Source organism: Homo sapiens, chromosome 4, assembly GCF_000001405.40.
Source record: "Homo sapiens chromosome 4, GRCh38.p14 Primary Assembly".
Classification (NCBI taxonomy): Eukaryota; Metazoa; Chordata; class Mammalia; order Primates; family Hominidae; genus Homo; species Homo sapiens.
The window spans coordinates 155921758-155936489 of record NC_000004.12 but is presented as its reverse complement, the minus strand read 5'-3'; the positions used below and the strand labels follow the sequence as shown (position 1 = coordinate 155936489).

At 38.7% G+C, this 14732-nt stretch overlaps 1 protein-coding gene across 1 annotated transcript in view; it reads left to right on the top strand.

Annotated features, from left to right (window-relative positions):
* The window catches only part of CTSO (cathepsin O), a 29749-nt gene extending 17377 nt beyond the window's left edge, over positions 1-12372 (top strand). The window contains exons 6-8 of the mRNA NM_001334.3: positions 6785-6948; positions 8062-8154; positions 10420-12372. Of these exons, the coding sequence (NP_001325.1) occupies positions 6785-6948; positions 8062-8154; positions 10420-10454 (292 nt within the window). The 3' untranslated portion in view covers positions 10455-12372. The remainder of the gene's footprint in view (positions 1-6784; positions 6949-8061; positions 8155-10419) is intronic.
* Positions 12373-14732: the final 2360 nt, after the last annotated feature.

Genomic DNA, 14732 nt, shown 5'->3' with positions numbered 1-14732 from the left:
GAACTAAATTAAATTTGGATAAGGTAACAGAATCCCCTATGACTTAGTGGTCCTGAATATAAAATAATCCCTTGATCCAGATGGTATCTACCCATGGGATCTGAAAGAAATCAAGGGTGAAATTGCGTCCTTGAACAAAATGTACCCGTTTAAATGAGCATAAGTGTGCCAGAGAACTGTCAGGTTGTCAACACAGCTCCGGTCTGCAACAAGGGTCCTCAGGGTGACACCAGGAACCATACACCAGACAGCCTTAATTCCACAGCTGGCAGACCATGTAGGATTTATAATAAAATGTGCAGGGTCACTGAGTACCGTGGTCAACATCTCATTTGGGGATAAAGGTAATGTGCTTTCTAAAATCAGAAAGTATGCCCTATAAACTCTGACTTCCTTGAGAGTATAAGGGAAGGATGTGTACAAGAAAAAACTAGATTTACAAAATATCATTAAAAGGGATTAAGGGAATCCCTTATCATGGTAGGAAATTGAAAAAAAAATTAAGAAGAAGCAAAAGAATAATAGGCATTAGTCTGAATTAAGGGAAAGAGAGAATGCAGGAGTTGTTGGCATTGGGCCTTTGATTAGGAAGGAAGAGGTCCCAATCAAAATATCTTGTTTATATTGAAGATTAAACTCTAACAGTGCAATGCTAAACTGATAGCATTTGACTGCAAGAAGATCTTTCTTTGATTTATTTATTCATTCAAATATTTACTGACTTTTTTTTAAGTTCTGGGGATTTGGCAGAGAACAAAACAGACAAAAACCTTGCCCTCATTAGTAATTGAGACAGACAGTCACAAAAAATAAAAATACATGTGGCATATTGGCTGTAATAATTAACAAAGAGAACAAATGAAAACAGTGGGAGGAAGAGAAACGATCTGGTAGTAGGGGGAGTGTACAATTTGAGAAAGGGTTGCCTGGCAGGGCCTCACTCACTGAAAAGGTTATGTTCAAGTGAAGACTTGGAGAAGTGCGTGGACTTAACCACGCAGATATGTGGGGGAACATGGTTCCAAGCAGAGAGGCTGTAAATGCAAAGATCGTGAGGCAAAAACATGTCTGGCATGTTAGAACAATGATGAAGCCACTGTGGCTGTAGTGTGGAGAAGAAAGACAAGACTAGTAGGAGATGAGGTCATACTGTCCCTGTATTAGTCTGCTTTCGTGCTGCTGATAAAGACATACCCAAGACTGGAAAGAAAAAGAGGTTTAATTGGACTTACAGTTCCACATGGCTGAGGAGGCTTCAGAATCACGGCAGGAGGTAAAAGGCACTACTTACGTGGCGGCAGCAAGAGAAAATGAGGAAGAAGCAAAAGCGTAACCCCCGATAAACCCATCAGATCTTGTGAGACTTATTCACTATCACAAGAATAGCATGGGAAAGACCAGCCCCCATGAATTCAATTACCTCCCCCTGGGTCCCTCCACAACATGTGGGAATTCTGGGAGATACAATTCAAGTTGAGACTTCGGTGGGGACACACCCAAACCATATCATTCCATCCCTGGCCCCTCCAAATCTCATGTCTTCACATTTCAAAACCAATCATGCCTTGCCAACAGTCCCCCAAAGTCTTAACTCATTTCAGCATTAACCCGAAAGTCCACAGTCCAAAGTCTCATCTGAGAGAAGGCAACTCCCTTCCGCCTATGAGCCTGTAAAATCAAAAGCAAGCTAATTACTTCCTAGATGCAGTAGGGATACAGGTATTGGGTAAATACGGCCATTCCAAATGGGAGAAATTGGCCAAAACAAAGGAGTTAGAGGGCCCATGGAACTCCAAAATCCAGCAGGCAGTCAAATTTTAAAGTTCCAGAGTGATCTCCTTTGACTCCAGATCTCACATCCAAGTCATGCTGATGCAAGATGTGGGTTCTAATGGTCTTGAGCACCTCTGCCTCTGTGCTTTGCAGGGTACAGCCTCCCTCCTGGCTGCTTTCACGGTCTGGCATTGAGTGTCTGTGGCTTTTCCAGGTGCATAGTGCAAGCTGTCAGTGGATCTACCATTCTGGGGTCTGGAGGACAGTGGCCCTCTTCTCGCAGCTCCTGTGGGACTCTGTGTGGAGCCTCCAACCCCACATTTTTCTTCTGCACTGCGCTAGCAGAGGTTTTCCATGAGGGCCCTGCTCCTGCAGCAAACTTTTGCCTGGGCATCCAGGCATCTCCATACATCTTCTGAAATCTAGGTGGAGGTTCCCCAATCTCAATTCTTGTCTTCTATGTACCCGCAGGCTCAACCCCAAATGGAAGCTGCCAAGGCCACAGCCTGAGCTCTATGTTGGCCCCTTTGAGCCATGGCTGGAGCATCTGAGACACAGGGCACTAAGTCCCTAGGCTGCACACAGCACAAGGACCCTGGGCCTATCCCACAAAACCACTTTTTCCTTCTGGGCCTCCGAGCCTGTGATGGGAGGGGCTGCCGTGAAGGTGTCTGACATAACCTGAAGACATTTTCCCCATGGTGTTGGGGATTAACATTAGGCTCCTTGCTACTTACGCAAATTTCTGCAGCTGGCTTCAATGTCTCCTCAAAAAATGGGTTTTTCTTTTCTACTGCATCATCAGGCTGCAAATTTTCTGAACTTTTATGCTCTGTTTTCCCTTTTAAAATGGAATGCTTTTAACAGCACCCAAGTCACCTTTTGAATGCTTTGCTGCTTAGAAATTTCTTCCGCCAGATACCCTAAATCATCTCTCTCAAGTTCAAAGTTCCACAAATCTCTAGGGCAGTGGCAAAATGCTGCCAGTCTGGTTGCTAAAACATAACAAGAGTCACCTTTGCTCCATTTCCCACAAGTTTCTCATCTCCATCTGAAACCACCTCAGCCTGGACCTAATTATTGTTCATATCACTATTGGCATTTTGGTGAAAGCCATTCGACAAGTCTCTAGGAAGTTCCAAACTTTCCCACATTTTCCTTTCTTCTTCTGAGCCCTTGAAACTGTTCCAACTGTCTGCCTATTACCCAGTTCCAAAGTCACTTCCACATTTTCAGGTATCTTTTCAGCAGTGCCCCAATCTACTAGTACCAATTTACTATGAGTCCATTTTCATGCTGCTGATAAAGACATACCCGAGACTGGGAAGAGAAAGGTTTAATTGGACTTACAGTTCCACATGGCTAGGGAGGCCTCAGAATCATGGCGGGAGGAGAAAGGCACTTCTTACATGGTGGCGGCAAGAGAAATTGAGGAAGAAGGAGAAGTGGAAACCCCTGATAAAATCATCAGATCTCATGAGACTTATTCACTATCACAAGAATAGCACTGGAAAGACTGGCCCCCATGATTCAATTACCTCCCCCTGGGTTCCTCCCACAACACATGGGAATTCTGGGAGATACAATTCAATTTGAGACTTGGATGGGGACACAGCCAAACCATCTCAGTCACCAAGCAGTGGCCTTAGAGCAGGGTGTTAGGAGAATGGCCTTGGAGATGAGAGATGAGGGGTATGTATAGATTAATACCCCTCACAGAGGGTAAAGCCCTACACAGTTTTTTATTGGAGAGGAGATAAGAGAGAAGAGAGTCTAGGAGGATTCCCGGCCTTTTGATCTCAATGACTGAAAAATAGAATTACCATTAATGAAACTTGAAAGTCTAAGACAGGAACAGATTTAGAAGGAAACAGTAAGAGTTCAGTTGGAACACCTAGGAAGTGATCCCAGGAAAGACTGGTAATGGGGTGGGGAAATGAGAGAACCGGGGCAGCAGGGTTTCTTGATTAAACCAGTTAGTGCTGTGGCTAACCTCATGCTTAGTCCTGCTGGGGAACTCTGGCAGCCAGGGTAAAATGTACACTTCAGTGCCATCCCATCCAAGTTGGTGATTGTCGTCTTCCCTGATTCATTAGTTGAGGGTGCATCTGGGGATGGAAATGGGGACTGGGCTTGCTTTCCTGGCTCTAGGAGGAAAAGGGCTCAGGGAAAGAACTGCAGGATCTCATTGTTGCAAGTTGGGTGAGTGTGCATTGCAGTGGTGACAGCCTTAGGATGTGTGAAGGTCTTCCAAAGCATTTGCTATAACTGGGCACAAGACCTGGTCCTTTGTACTTCAATAATATTATTTCCATGTATGGTGGATGCCTGAGACTCAGGGAGAGCCATATAGCTAGTAAACTGTGGAGTCGGATTAGAACTCATATCTGTTCAACTCCAAAGCTTGTGCTTTTACTCCCAACACTATTGGTAACGTCATGTGGTCTTAGGTTTTCAGCCAAACGCTCCTTAAAACATTGTACAGAACCTGAAAGCATCTAAGAAGGGAAAAAAATCATCTAAAATATAAAAACATAACCTAATTTTAAAGCAAAATGACCATTCCCACCCAGGGTTCTTCATGAATTTTTGTTTATCAGACCCCAGAAATTTCAGGACTCAAACTACAATATGAGAATGACTATGTAAATAAACAAAAACTGTAGGAACCTACTACATATAACAGTAGTCAGAAAAATTCAGACACAGTATAACACACTGAATTCTAGGGAAGATGAGATGAAAATCCACATTATGAAGCATCAGTAACAGGTCAGACTTGCCTTCATCGCCGCATCTTGATGACAATAAAATTTAGGAAAATTATTTGAACTATTATTATTATTCCATTCATTATAATAATAATGAATAATAATTATAATTCATTAATCAATGATTAATAATAATTATAATAATAATTCGTTATAATAATAACGAATTATTATTTCCAAAACTGTAGGTTTTGGAAATTATTAATCTGTGAAATGAATAGTAAGCTCATGGAATCAATGTTTGATAATAAAGCCATTATAACAATGTACATGTTGATAGTAGTTCTATATTGGGTTAATAATGGAAATTAAAATGCTGTCTGGAGCATTATTTGAACTCTCTAAAAGCTGACATCTTTCTGAAAGACAAATGATAGCAATGCCACTCAATTCTGGGGCCAAATGGAACATTTGCCTCTGCTTATGACTGAGGCTTGTCCTTCTATTTCTTACTTCTAATCTTTGATATCTTTTTTCAGCTCTGGCCCAAATCAGGGATTATTACTAAATTGTTTCTTTGATTCTGCAATGTCAGTTACCCTTTGCATTCTAAAAATATTCCTTCTTCTTGATCTTTCTGCTTTTCTCCTGGTATCCCTGAAACTGGATCTTTGATGAGATGAACTTCCAGTAATCCTTTGTTTTCTTCAATTGATGGAGACGGCTGTGTTCTGGTTGATAGAAAGATTATTATATATATCATGTTTAAATCATGAACTATGCTAAGAATTTTGATACAATAAGATATACTTTATACACTAAATCCTATGGGGAACACAATTAGTTATTAGATAAGTTAGAAATGAGGGAAATAAATAATCCTTATTGTAAACTTGGAGTAAAACTTATGTGCTGGGCATGCTACATAATTTATGTCTTGCAAAATTGTATGCCATAATTTTATCCTTGTATTGATTCTGCATGGTAGGTTGAATGGCTGCAGTGTATAGTTGGAATTTGAACCCAGGTGTGGGACAATTAAAAACCTATAACCTATCATGATGCCTTTTAAAAATTTTACAATTTTGCCTGTCTCAGGATAATCTTAGTTAATATGAACTGTTTTACAGTAGCAAAAATTAGAAATATCTACTTATAGATCTCAAAAAGCAGATATTCATGTTAATAGTTAACATGAATAAATGTATAAAATGAATATATAGTTTCTATTTCAATCAATTCCATTATTATGCAGTCAACTTTTTGCTCCTCTGTGGACAAAATATTCCCTCTCTAGAAACTGGTCTCCAGCTGGTCGTCATGAAAGATTATTTACTTACTTATTAGTGGATTATTACCACTAATCCACCCATGGCTTGCTATAGCAGTAAACTATCAAATGTTATCTTAATAGTTTGAACTATTAGGAACTTGGTTTCAGTATCCTTCACCCACAAAGCTGACCTTTGAAAAGTGTAAATAATGATTTGATCACTCACTTGTAAGATCAATGAAGGACAAATGTTGTATAATATGAGACTTTATGTCCATGTGTGAAAACAATAATTGTGTATTTTGCAGTCTTCACAGTTGAACACCTAGTTCTCCGGGCATCCTAACATTTCTTCTCTTTTTAAAATATTTGCTTAACATTGCTTCTATTGTATAATTATATTAGCCACTTTTGAGTAGCCCTTCCCTATAATTTCTATATTTGACAATGACTAACATGAGTTAGTCTCTTGATTCTCATGGTGTGGCAGAGATGGCAAGGTATCGCCAAATATCTAGTCTTTCCACTTTCCTTAATAAAAGAAGCCCTATGTCTTAACTAATTTTCCAGCCAGCTACAGAACTCATTCCCCATCTTCCTTTAAGCTAGACTTAGCCATATGACTGAGTTCTGGCCAATGAGATCCGTGAAGATATATGTGGAAGTGTTGCGGGTTATTTCTGGGAAGTCTTCTCAACAGAGATGTATCACTTCTGCTTTCTACTTCCTGCTGTCTTAAATATGTGTTAAATGGCTGGAGTCCCAGCAACCATCTTGGACCATGAATGGACCCTGAAAATGGAAACCTTTGAATAGCAGGACAATGATAGAGAAAGAGCTTGGGTTCCTGATATCCTGAAACCCTATCCCAGCCATAGACTACCAGTCTCTCAGACTTAGCTTCCATTGTTTAGGTCCTTTGTAACTGCAACCAAACCTACTCAGAATCATACACAGATTATATAGATCATTGTTATTTTTACCTTAAAAACTAAATTTTCTAACCAAATATTTCCTCTTTTGGTAGTGACCAAGAAGATGAAATGGCAAAAGCACTTCTTACCTTTGGCCCTTTGGTAGTCATAGTAGATGCAGTGAGCTGGCAAGATTATCTGGGAGGCATTATACAGCATCACTGCTCTAGTGGAGAAGCAAATCATGCAGTTCTCATAACTGGGTTTGATAAAACAGGTAAGTGCTGATAAGACTCAGTTGACTGCTTTCCAGCATGGACACTGAGTGCAAAATGATCACCATACTGTAGAACATTGAAATTTGGTTCTGCTATGATTAAGTCCTCATAAGACCTTCACAACTTCTCAACAATCTTATAGGAGTAAATGTGCCGAGACCAGCTCAGTTGTGGAGACCCTAACCCAGCGGCGCTAGAGGAATTAAAGACACACACACAGAAATATAGAGTGTGGAGTGGGAAATCAGGGGTCTCACAGCCTTCAGAGCTGAGAGCCCCGAACAGAGCTTTACCCACATATTTATTGACAGCAAGCCAGGGATAAGCATTGTTTCTATAGATTATAGATTGACTAAAAGTATTCCTTATGGGAAATAAAGGGATGGGCCGAAATAAAGGGATAGGTCTGACTAGTTGTCTGCAGCAGGAGCATGTCCTTAAGGCACAAGATTGCTGATGTTATTGTTTGTGGCTTAAGAACGCCTTTAAGCAGTTTTCTGCCCAGGGTTCGGCCAGGTGTTCCTTGCCCTAATTCCGGTAAACCCACAACCTTCCAGCGTGGGCGTCATGGCCATCACGAACATGTCACAGTGCTGCAGAGATTTTGCTTATGGCCAGTTTTGGGACCAGTTTATGGCCGGATTTGGGGGGCCTGTTCCCAATGTAAATGTCTTGTCAGATTCCACCTGTCAATTTTTGAGTGGATATCCTGTTAAAATGATGATAATTTTTGTTGATATAAAACTGTATCGGGAACATTTAGAATAATTGTTGGGAAAAGGTAAGTGCATATTATTTTATCATACGTATCTAAAAGTTCTTTTTTCTTTTTCTGATTCCTTGGAAATTAGTGTTTGTTTTCATTTTATGCAGTCCCTGTATAAAGGGAAGTGAATTCAAACATATATTTCTACTGATTGGAGAGTGTCCGTAAGTACTGCTCAGGTTTACTTAGTTAAAATAAAGTAGTTTAAGTTACCATTAAATTACATTTTTAATCTTCTTCTCAGAGCTACTATCCTTAGCAAGAATCCAACTTAAAATAAAGAAACTTAAACATTCATAACAAATTTGAGTTTTCAGGATTTGTTACTATTTATGTTTCACTGTAGGAAGCACTCCATATTGGATTGTGCGGAATTCCTGGGGAAGTTCTTGGGGAGTAGATGGTTATGCCCATGTCAAAATGGGAAGTAATGTTTGTGGTAAGTCATGAGTTTGTGTTTAAAACCTCAATATAAATATTAAGGAGATTATTTGAATATTTTAGAGTTACAATCTACTCAAACCACTTTAGCAGTAATAATTTTTGTCCTTTAACCAAATGATAAAAAAAAAAGTGTTTTGCAAGAGGAACTGTTAAACATATTAGTATTTGAAAAAGGAAGAGGGACCTTAGTAAAAAATATATATTACATATATATCTCAAAACATAAGATAAAGTAATAATTTACCAAGGTTAATTGCTTTAAAAATGAGATAAACACACAGCTTAGGAGACTGGACTCCTGCAGAAATGTCTTCTTGTTCCAAATTTACATTTCATAACTATAAATTTTTCTTAATTTCTGTATTATAATATCTGCTCAATGATTATCAAGAGTTTTTCTTTGTTTTAAAATATACGAAAACTAAGCATTAGTATTGTTTGTGATTTAATATGCCCCTTGCCACCTACAAAATTCTAGCAAAACACCCACTAGAATTGAGAGGCTTAGGCAAATACCAAACATGCTTTTTTATTGAGTGACAACTTTTTTTTTTTTGAGATAGAGTCTCGCTCTGTCTCCCAGGCTGGAGTGCAGTGGCATGATCTCGGCTCACTGCAAGCTCCGCCTCCCGGGTTCACACTCTTCTCCTGCCTCAGCCTCCTGAGTAGCTGGGACTACAGACTCCCGCCACCACACCTGGCTGATTTTTTGTTTTTGTATTTTTAGTAGAGACGAGGTTTCACCGTGTTAGCCAGGATGGTCTCAATCTCCTGACCTCGTGATCTGCCCTCCTTGGCCTCCCAAAGTGCTGGGATTACAGGCGTGAGCCACCACGCCCAGCCTGAAACACAACTTTTTAAATGAACCACCAACCAAACTAAAATAGCTAGTTAAGAATTTTAACCGTGTTATAAAACTATATTCAAACCTATATTCTAAAACTTTTGGTCTAGAAATCAACATATTTTCTGAATCAAGCTAGACCCAAACTAAGTTACATATTAGAGCAATCATGTCATTTCTTATTATAATTTGTTCCAACATATATACAATTTTTTTAAATGCAGAATCTTTCAGATTATGAGACTGATTAAATAGTTACAGAAAAATTTGAAAGTTTATGTTCAATGACTATTAACCAATCATTCCATAAGGCAGAATCCATGAGAGTTCATGAGTGATCTGTTCTATCACCCTGATGAGACAGTTTTTATAAGTTATTCATTGAAAAAAGTCAACATCACAGAAATATATTGGCCAGAATACTAGCAACCCCATCAGGCCTCCACTTTTCAGCATCACTGGGGACTCGTACATCTTTGGAACTTGCAGATAAATGACTGATGCTAATCATTAACCCTTGCTGCTGAACATATATTATGTCCGACTGCAGCAGTGGTGGATCCTGGATTTGGGCTGAGGGGTGACTGCTTTCAAATCTCTTACAGGAGTGTTAAAATAACATAATTCAAATATTGGTTCATAATTGCCTCAATTATAACTACGTCCCTCACCACAACCTTTCTCCATCCCTCAGCTACTAAGGGTGAGTGGAGATAATTTCTGCTCTCTACCTGCTTTCATAATGTAAATCTTTAAGGGCATGCCTGGTTGGTAATCATACAGGGATTCAAATTCTTCCTGAAAGTGAGTATTCCCTGAAAGTTACAATGATGTCATATTACTCTTATGAGCAATGGCATAAGGCAGATAGTATTTCATAGCTGCAAGAGATTTCGAAGATACGGTTAGTTATAATAAAAACCAGTCTTCAGATAGGCTATTTATTGCTTTTGCCATGATGTTGCAATCTGTGTTCTCGTGTGTAAAGAAAGCATAGCACACTCGTGATTTATTAAAGTTTTACCCACATTCAAATTTTAGAATTTGAGTTATGAAATTGTATTTAAAATAATTTCTTAAGTTATTTTGCCTCTAAGAAATAATGTATTAGTTTAATACAGCTTCCAGATGCATTCATTTATTCAGTTAACAGGTAGTTTTTGTTGTGGATTTTTAAAATCTTTAAAATTATTTTAGTTTCTTCAAACAAAAATATTAGGCATACTTCTAATATGCCTAATCTCTTCTAATATCTGCTTTTGATGATACCATGTTTACATTGACAAGCTGTGATAAGCATTACATTATTTTCTCAGTAGATACTCTTTCTGAACCCAAATGAAAAATTGCTTTAATTTACAATTTCAAAAGCATCTAAAGAGGAAATAGACTAATAATTCCTTTTTTTTCCCTTAGGTATTGCAGATTCCGTTTCTTCTATATTTGTGTGACATGTTGGGCAGATCAAGAGACAGCTACAAAAATGAAGGTTTTCATAATGCAATGTAACATAGTACTTCAAAGTATTATTCAACTTCAAGTTTCAGCAACTACCTACAAAAGATTCTAAGGCCTAGTAGTATTTAAACTAAGTTTCAGAATGTTCCCTTCTTGTAGAGAGATGGACAACCAAAGTCAGTGGGACAAACTCCAGCACAGAAGCCTGCGAGGAAGCCTATGGAATAGTTTCCTGTCCTGAGACGAAATTCAGATTAGGAGATATTTTAGGCCCCTGCAACTGGGGAAGGCTACTGTTTGTTTTTGTTTGCTTATTATTTATTTGTTTGTTTATTGTGAGATATTTCAGGTGGGATCAAAGAGGTCATAAGAATTTATTTTCTTTTGTGGGGTGTAACTACTAGCTTTAGATTACCCCTATACACAAGAATGGCCAACCTAAAATTATGTGTGTCTTGTACAGTTAGTTATATTAGCAGCCCTCTGAGATGGCGTATCTATCGGAAGGATTTCAAACACCAATTGCTTTACCTGAACAAATGGTGCTTACCCTTTGAACAGCAGAGTGACCACGTAGAAGGAAGGAAAAGGGCAAAATCGCTTCAGTTAAACTGAAATTAAATGAACAATAAGGCAACTATATAAGTAACTTCTAGTAGCATTGCCTGAGAGACAAATTATTGTTTGATAATTTTCATTGTGAATAGGAATCCAATAGATCATATTGCTTACTTTGTTCTTTTTATACTATAGAATAATATTTTGTTCTCTAGTATATCAAAATACCAAAATATTATCTCATATTTTCTCCCTCTTTCTCTTACTCTTTACCAAGTTTTCCTGGTGGCTTGGCTTCCCTGACTAAAGAATTAAGTCTCATTTTTACTTTCCATTTCTATTTTCTTACCACTTGGTTGGCTCCCTTTGTCTCTGTACCTTTACCAACATTAGGATCTCACCTCTTTCTTCCTCCCTTAATTCATAAGCACCACTCCTATCAAAGTCCCATCTCTTAACCCTGGGTATCAAACAAACTGTGAGTTTTCCAGAATCTGTTTCCCAGTTTTCCCCTCAGCTTTCCTGGTCTCCCATCCGAACTGCTTCTTTGTGCACCTCTTGTTCTTTCTCTTGGCTCCCAGTCTTGATTCCTGTGATCACTCTTGCATCACTAATTGCACAAGTGATTTCAGGTGCAATTCTGATTAGCCTGCGTCCACACAGTGATCGATGATCCTATGTGCCTAGAAAGGACACTGTGTGCTGCTCATGACCTGCAACAGGAAAAAAGCCATTTCTTGTTAGCAGTGTAAGAACCTTAGAGCAAAGGAGTTGACCTTCTGATTGAATATAAGCACAACCATATTAAATGAATCAATACAAGAAAATTATTTCTGATACTATGTATGTACATATTTCTTCTCTAAAATGTATCATTCTTTTCTAATGTATATGATCTAACAAAAATGAAACATGAAATGCAGTAGCAACCACTAAAAAAAAAAATTCAAGGACATCTAACTTTTTCTCTCACTTTTGCCCTTTGTTTATCCTTCCCTGTGATTAGATAAACAAAATAAAAAACAAAATGCTGTATTTCTCTTCTTACGCCAGTCAGAACCAATCCGAAAAGAATGTGTGTTGACTCAGGTTTGGAGTTATTTCAGGAAGACAGATATTGACCTTTTAATTGATAAATATTCTTATTATCCTGGAATGCCAGAAAAGAACTATGTCCTGCTTGTCTAGTTTGTATTCGCTGACTTTCTATGTGATATAGATGCATTTGTAATACTCTTTTTCAAGTGCTAAAGGATTTCTAAAATTTCAAACTGATTAATATGTTTCTGCTGTTCTGGATTTTGATGACATTTACAATAAAACAACCTACATTTGACTTTGGTTTAAAAAGAACCTCTTCTTAAGTGTATGGCTTACATTTTGTCAACACGGTATTAATGTGCTTTATATTTACAGTTTTCTCAGCTCTAAATTAATATATCCAGCTTTTGGTTTTCTCCATAGGCACTTTAACCTCAGTGTTTCCGAAACTCCATTCGTCATCCTCCCTAACTTCTCCCACCACCCCCAACAAAAATTTCCTTTACCTCTAAGAGCCTCTATTTTGGTTAACAGAATCAACATTATGGAATCACCCAATCAATAAAATTAAGACAAATCCTAAACATTTAAGCAGGTCATCTGCACCTTGGTAACCCATCAATGAATTACCTACCTCCTGTGGCTACTGTCATTTCTTAGTTGCATGTTCTTTAGTGTCATTTATCTCCATTATTCAGTAGCCTACTCATTATTCTCTATGTCCCTTAGTCCAGACCCAAAGTCTGGTGATTCAGATTGATGTTCTTATAGTCCATCTACTGTATTTCCCCTGCATTTACATTTCTCAAAGACGTTATCAGTTTCTCTGTTCACAACCGTTCAAGGGCTCCCAATGCCTTATGATACCATGTGAGCTCTTTTAAGTGAGTTTTCACGAAGAAGCCCCTCTCTACCTTTTCAACCGTGATTGCTGCTGTGCTGCATAGTTTGATCACTCTTATGCTGTGATCCAGCCATAACAAACTACTTGAAGTCAAAGCAACAAAATCCTCACCTAATAATTAGAAGTCATAATGAAAGTCATCAACGTGTTTCTGGATGTGGTTTCACAAAGATCTCAAAGTGAATACTAAATTAGCCCACCTTACAGTGATTTTCTAGCCCATTTAAAAGTTATAAAGTGGGTCATCAGCACTAGAAGCAAGTGTGACTGGGGAGGGTGGGGACTTGCAGTCTAAATTATTTTGATATTTACATGAAGAATGACTGATATATCCTTTGATAAAACTCTTGCAACTTCTAGCTTAGTCACACCAAGAAATATAGGTGTAAAGAACTAAATATAACCATATAGTCTATGATATGGTTTAGCTATGATATGGTTTAGCTGTCTCTTAACCCAAATCTCACCTTGAATTGTAATAATCCCCACATGTCAAGGGCAGGGCCAGGTGGAGATAATTGAATCATGAGGGTGGTTTCTCCCATACTGTTCTCATGGTAGTGAATAAGTCTCACAAGATCTGATGGTTTTATAAATGGGAGTTCCCCTGCACAAGCACTCTTGCCTGCCACCATGTAAGACATGACTTTGCTTCTCCTTTGCTTTCCACCATGATTGTGAAGCCTCCACAACCATGTGGAACTGTGAGTCCATTAAACCTCTTTCCTTTATGACTTACCCAGTCTCAGGTATGTCTTTATTAGCAGCATAACAGCAGACTAATGCAACAGGCTAAGAAGGGAGTTACAGTATTGGCCAGGGTGATTGACCTGGACTATGAAGACGAAATCAGTCTACTACTCCACAATGGAGGTAAGGAAGAGTAGGCATGGAACACAGGAGAACCCTTAGGGTGTCTCTTAGTATTGCCATGCCCTGTGATTAATGTCAATGGGAAACTACAACGGCACAATCCTGGCAGGACTACAAATGGCCCAGATACTTCAGGAATGAAGGTTTGGGTCACTCCAGCAGGTACAAAGCCACAACCTGCTGAGGTGCTTGCTGAAGGCAAAGAGAATAAGGAATGGGGGTAGTGGAATAAGGTAGTCATCAATAGCAGCTTCAGCCATGTGACCAGTTGCAGAAATGAGGACTGTAATTGTCATGAGTATTTCCTCTTTATTTTGTTGAGAACATGTTTGCACATATATATACTTGTACTAAGAAAATATATTCATTTTATTTCCTTTATTTTTCCTTTATCATGTGATGTAAGATTTGTTGACTTCATATCAGCATTTAAGTGTTGTTAACTTTAGGTAATAGCATTTGGATTGGGGATTGGTGCACTTCCAGTTGTACAAAGGATAGCTGTATTGTGTTAGATGTAATTATGACCTTATTATTGGCTTCAGTTGAAGATTATGTGTGATTTCAGGAGATGTGGATGGGTTCAAGTTGACAAAGTTGTGATGGTTAATATTGAGTGCCAACTTGATTGGATTGAAGGATGCAAAGTATTGTTCCTGGATGTGTTTGTGAGGGTGTTTCCAAAGGAGATTAACATTTGAGTCAGTGGACTGGGAGAGGCAGACCCACCCTCAGCCTGGGTGGGCCCTGTCTAATCAGCTGCCAGTGTGAAAGGAGGCATGGAGAGAACAGACCTGCTGAGTCTTCTGGCCTCCATCTTTCTCCCATGCTGGAGGCTTCCTGCCCTGGAATAACAGACTCCAAGTTCTTCAACTTTTGGACTCTTGGACTTATA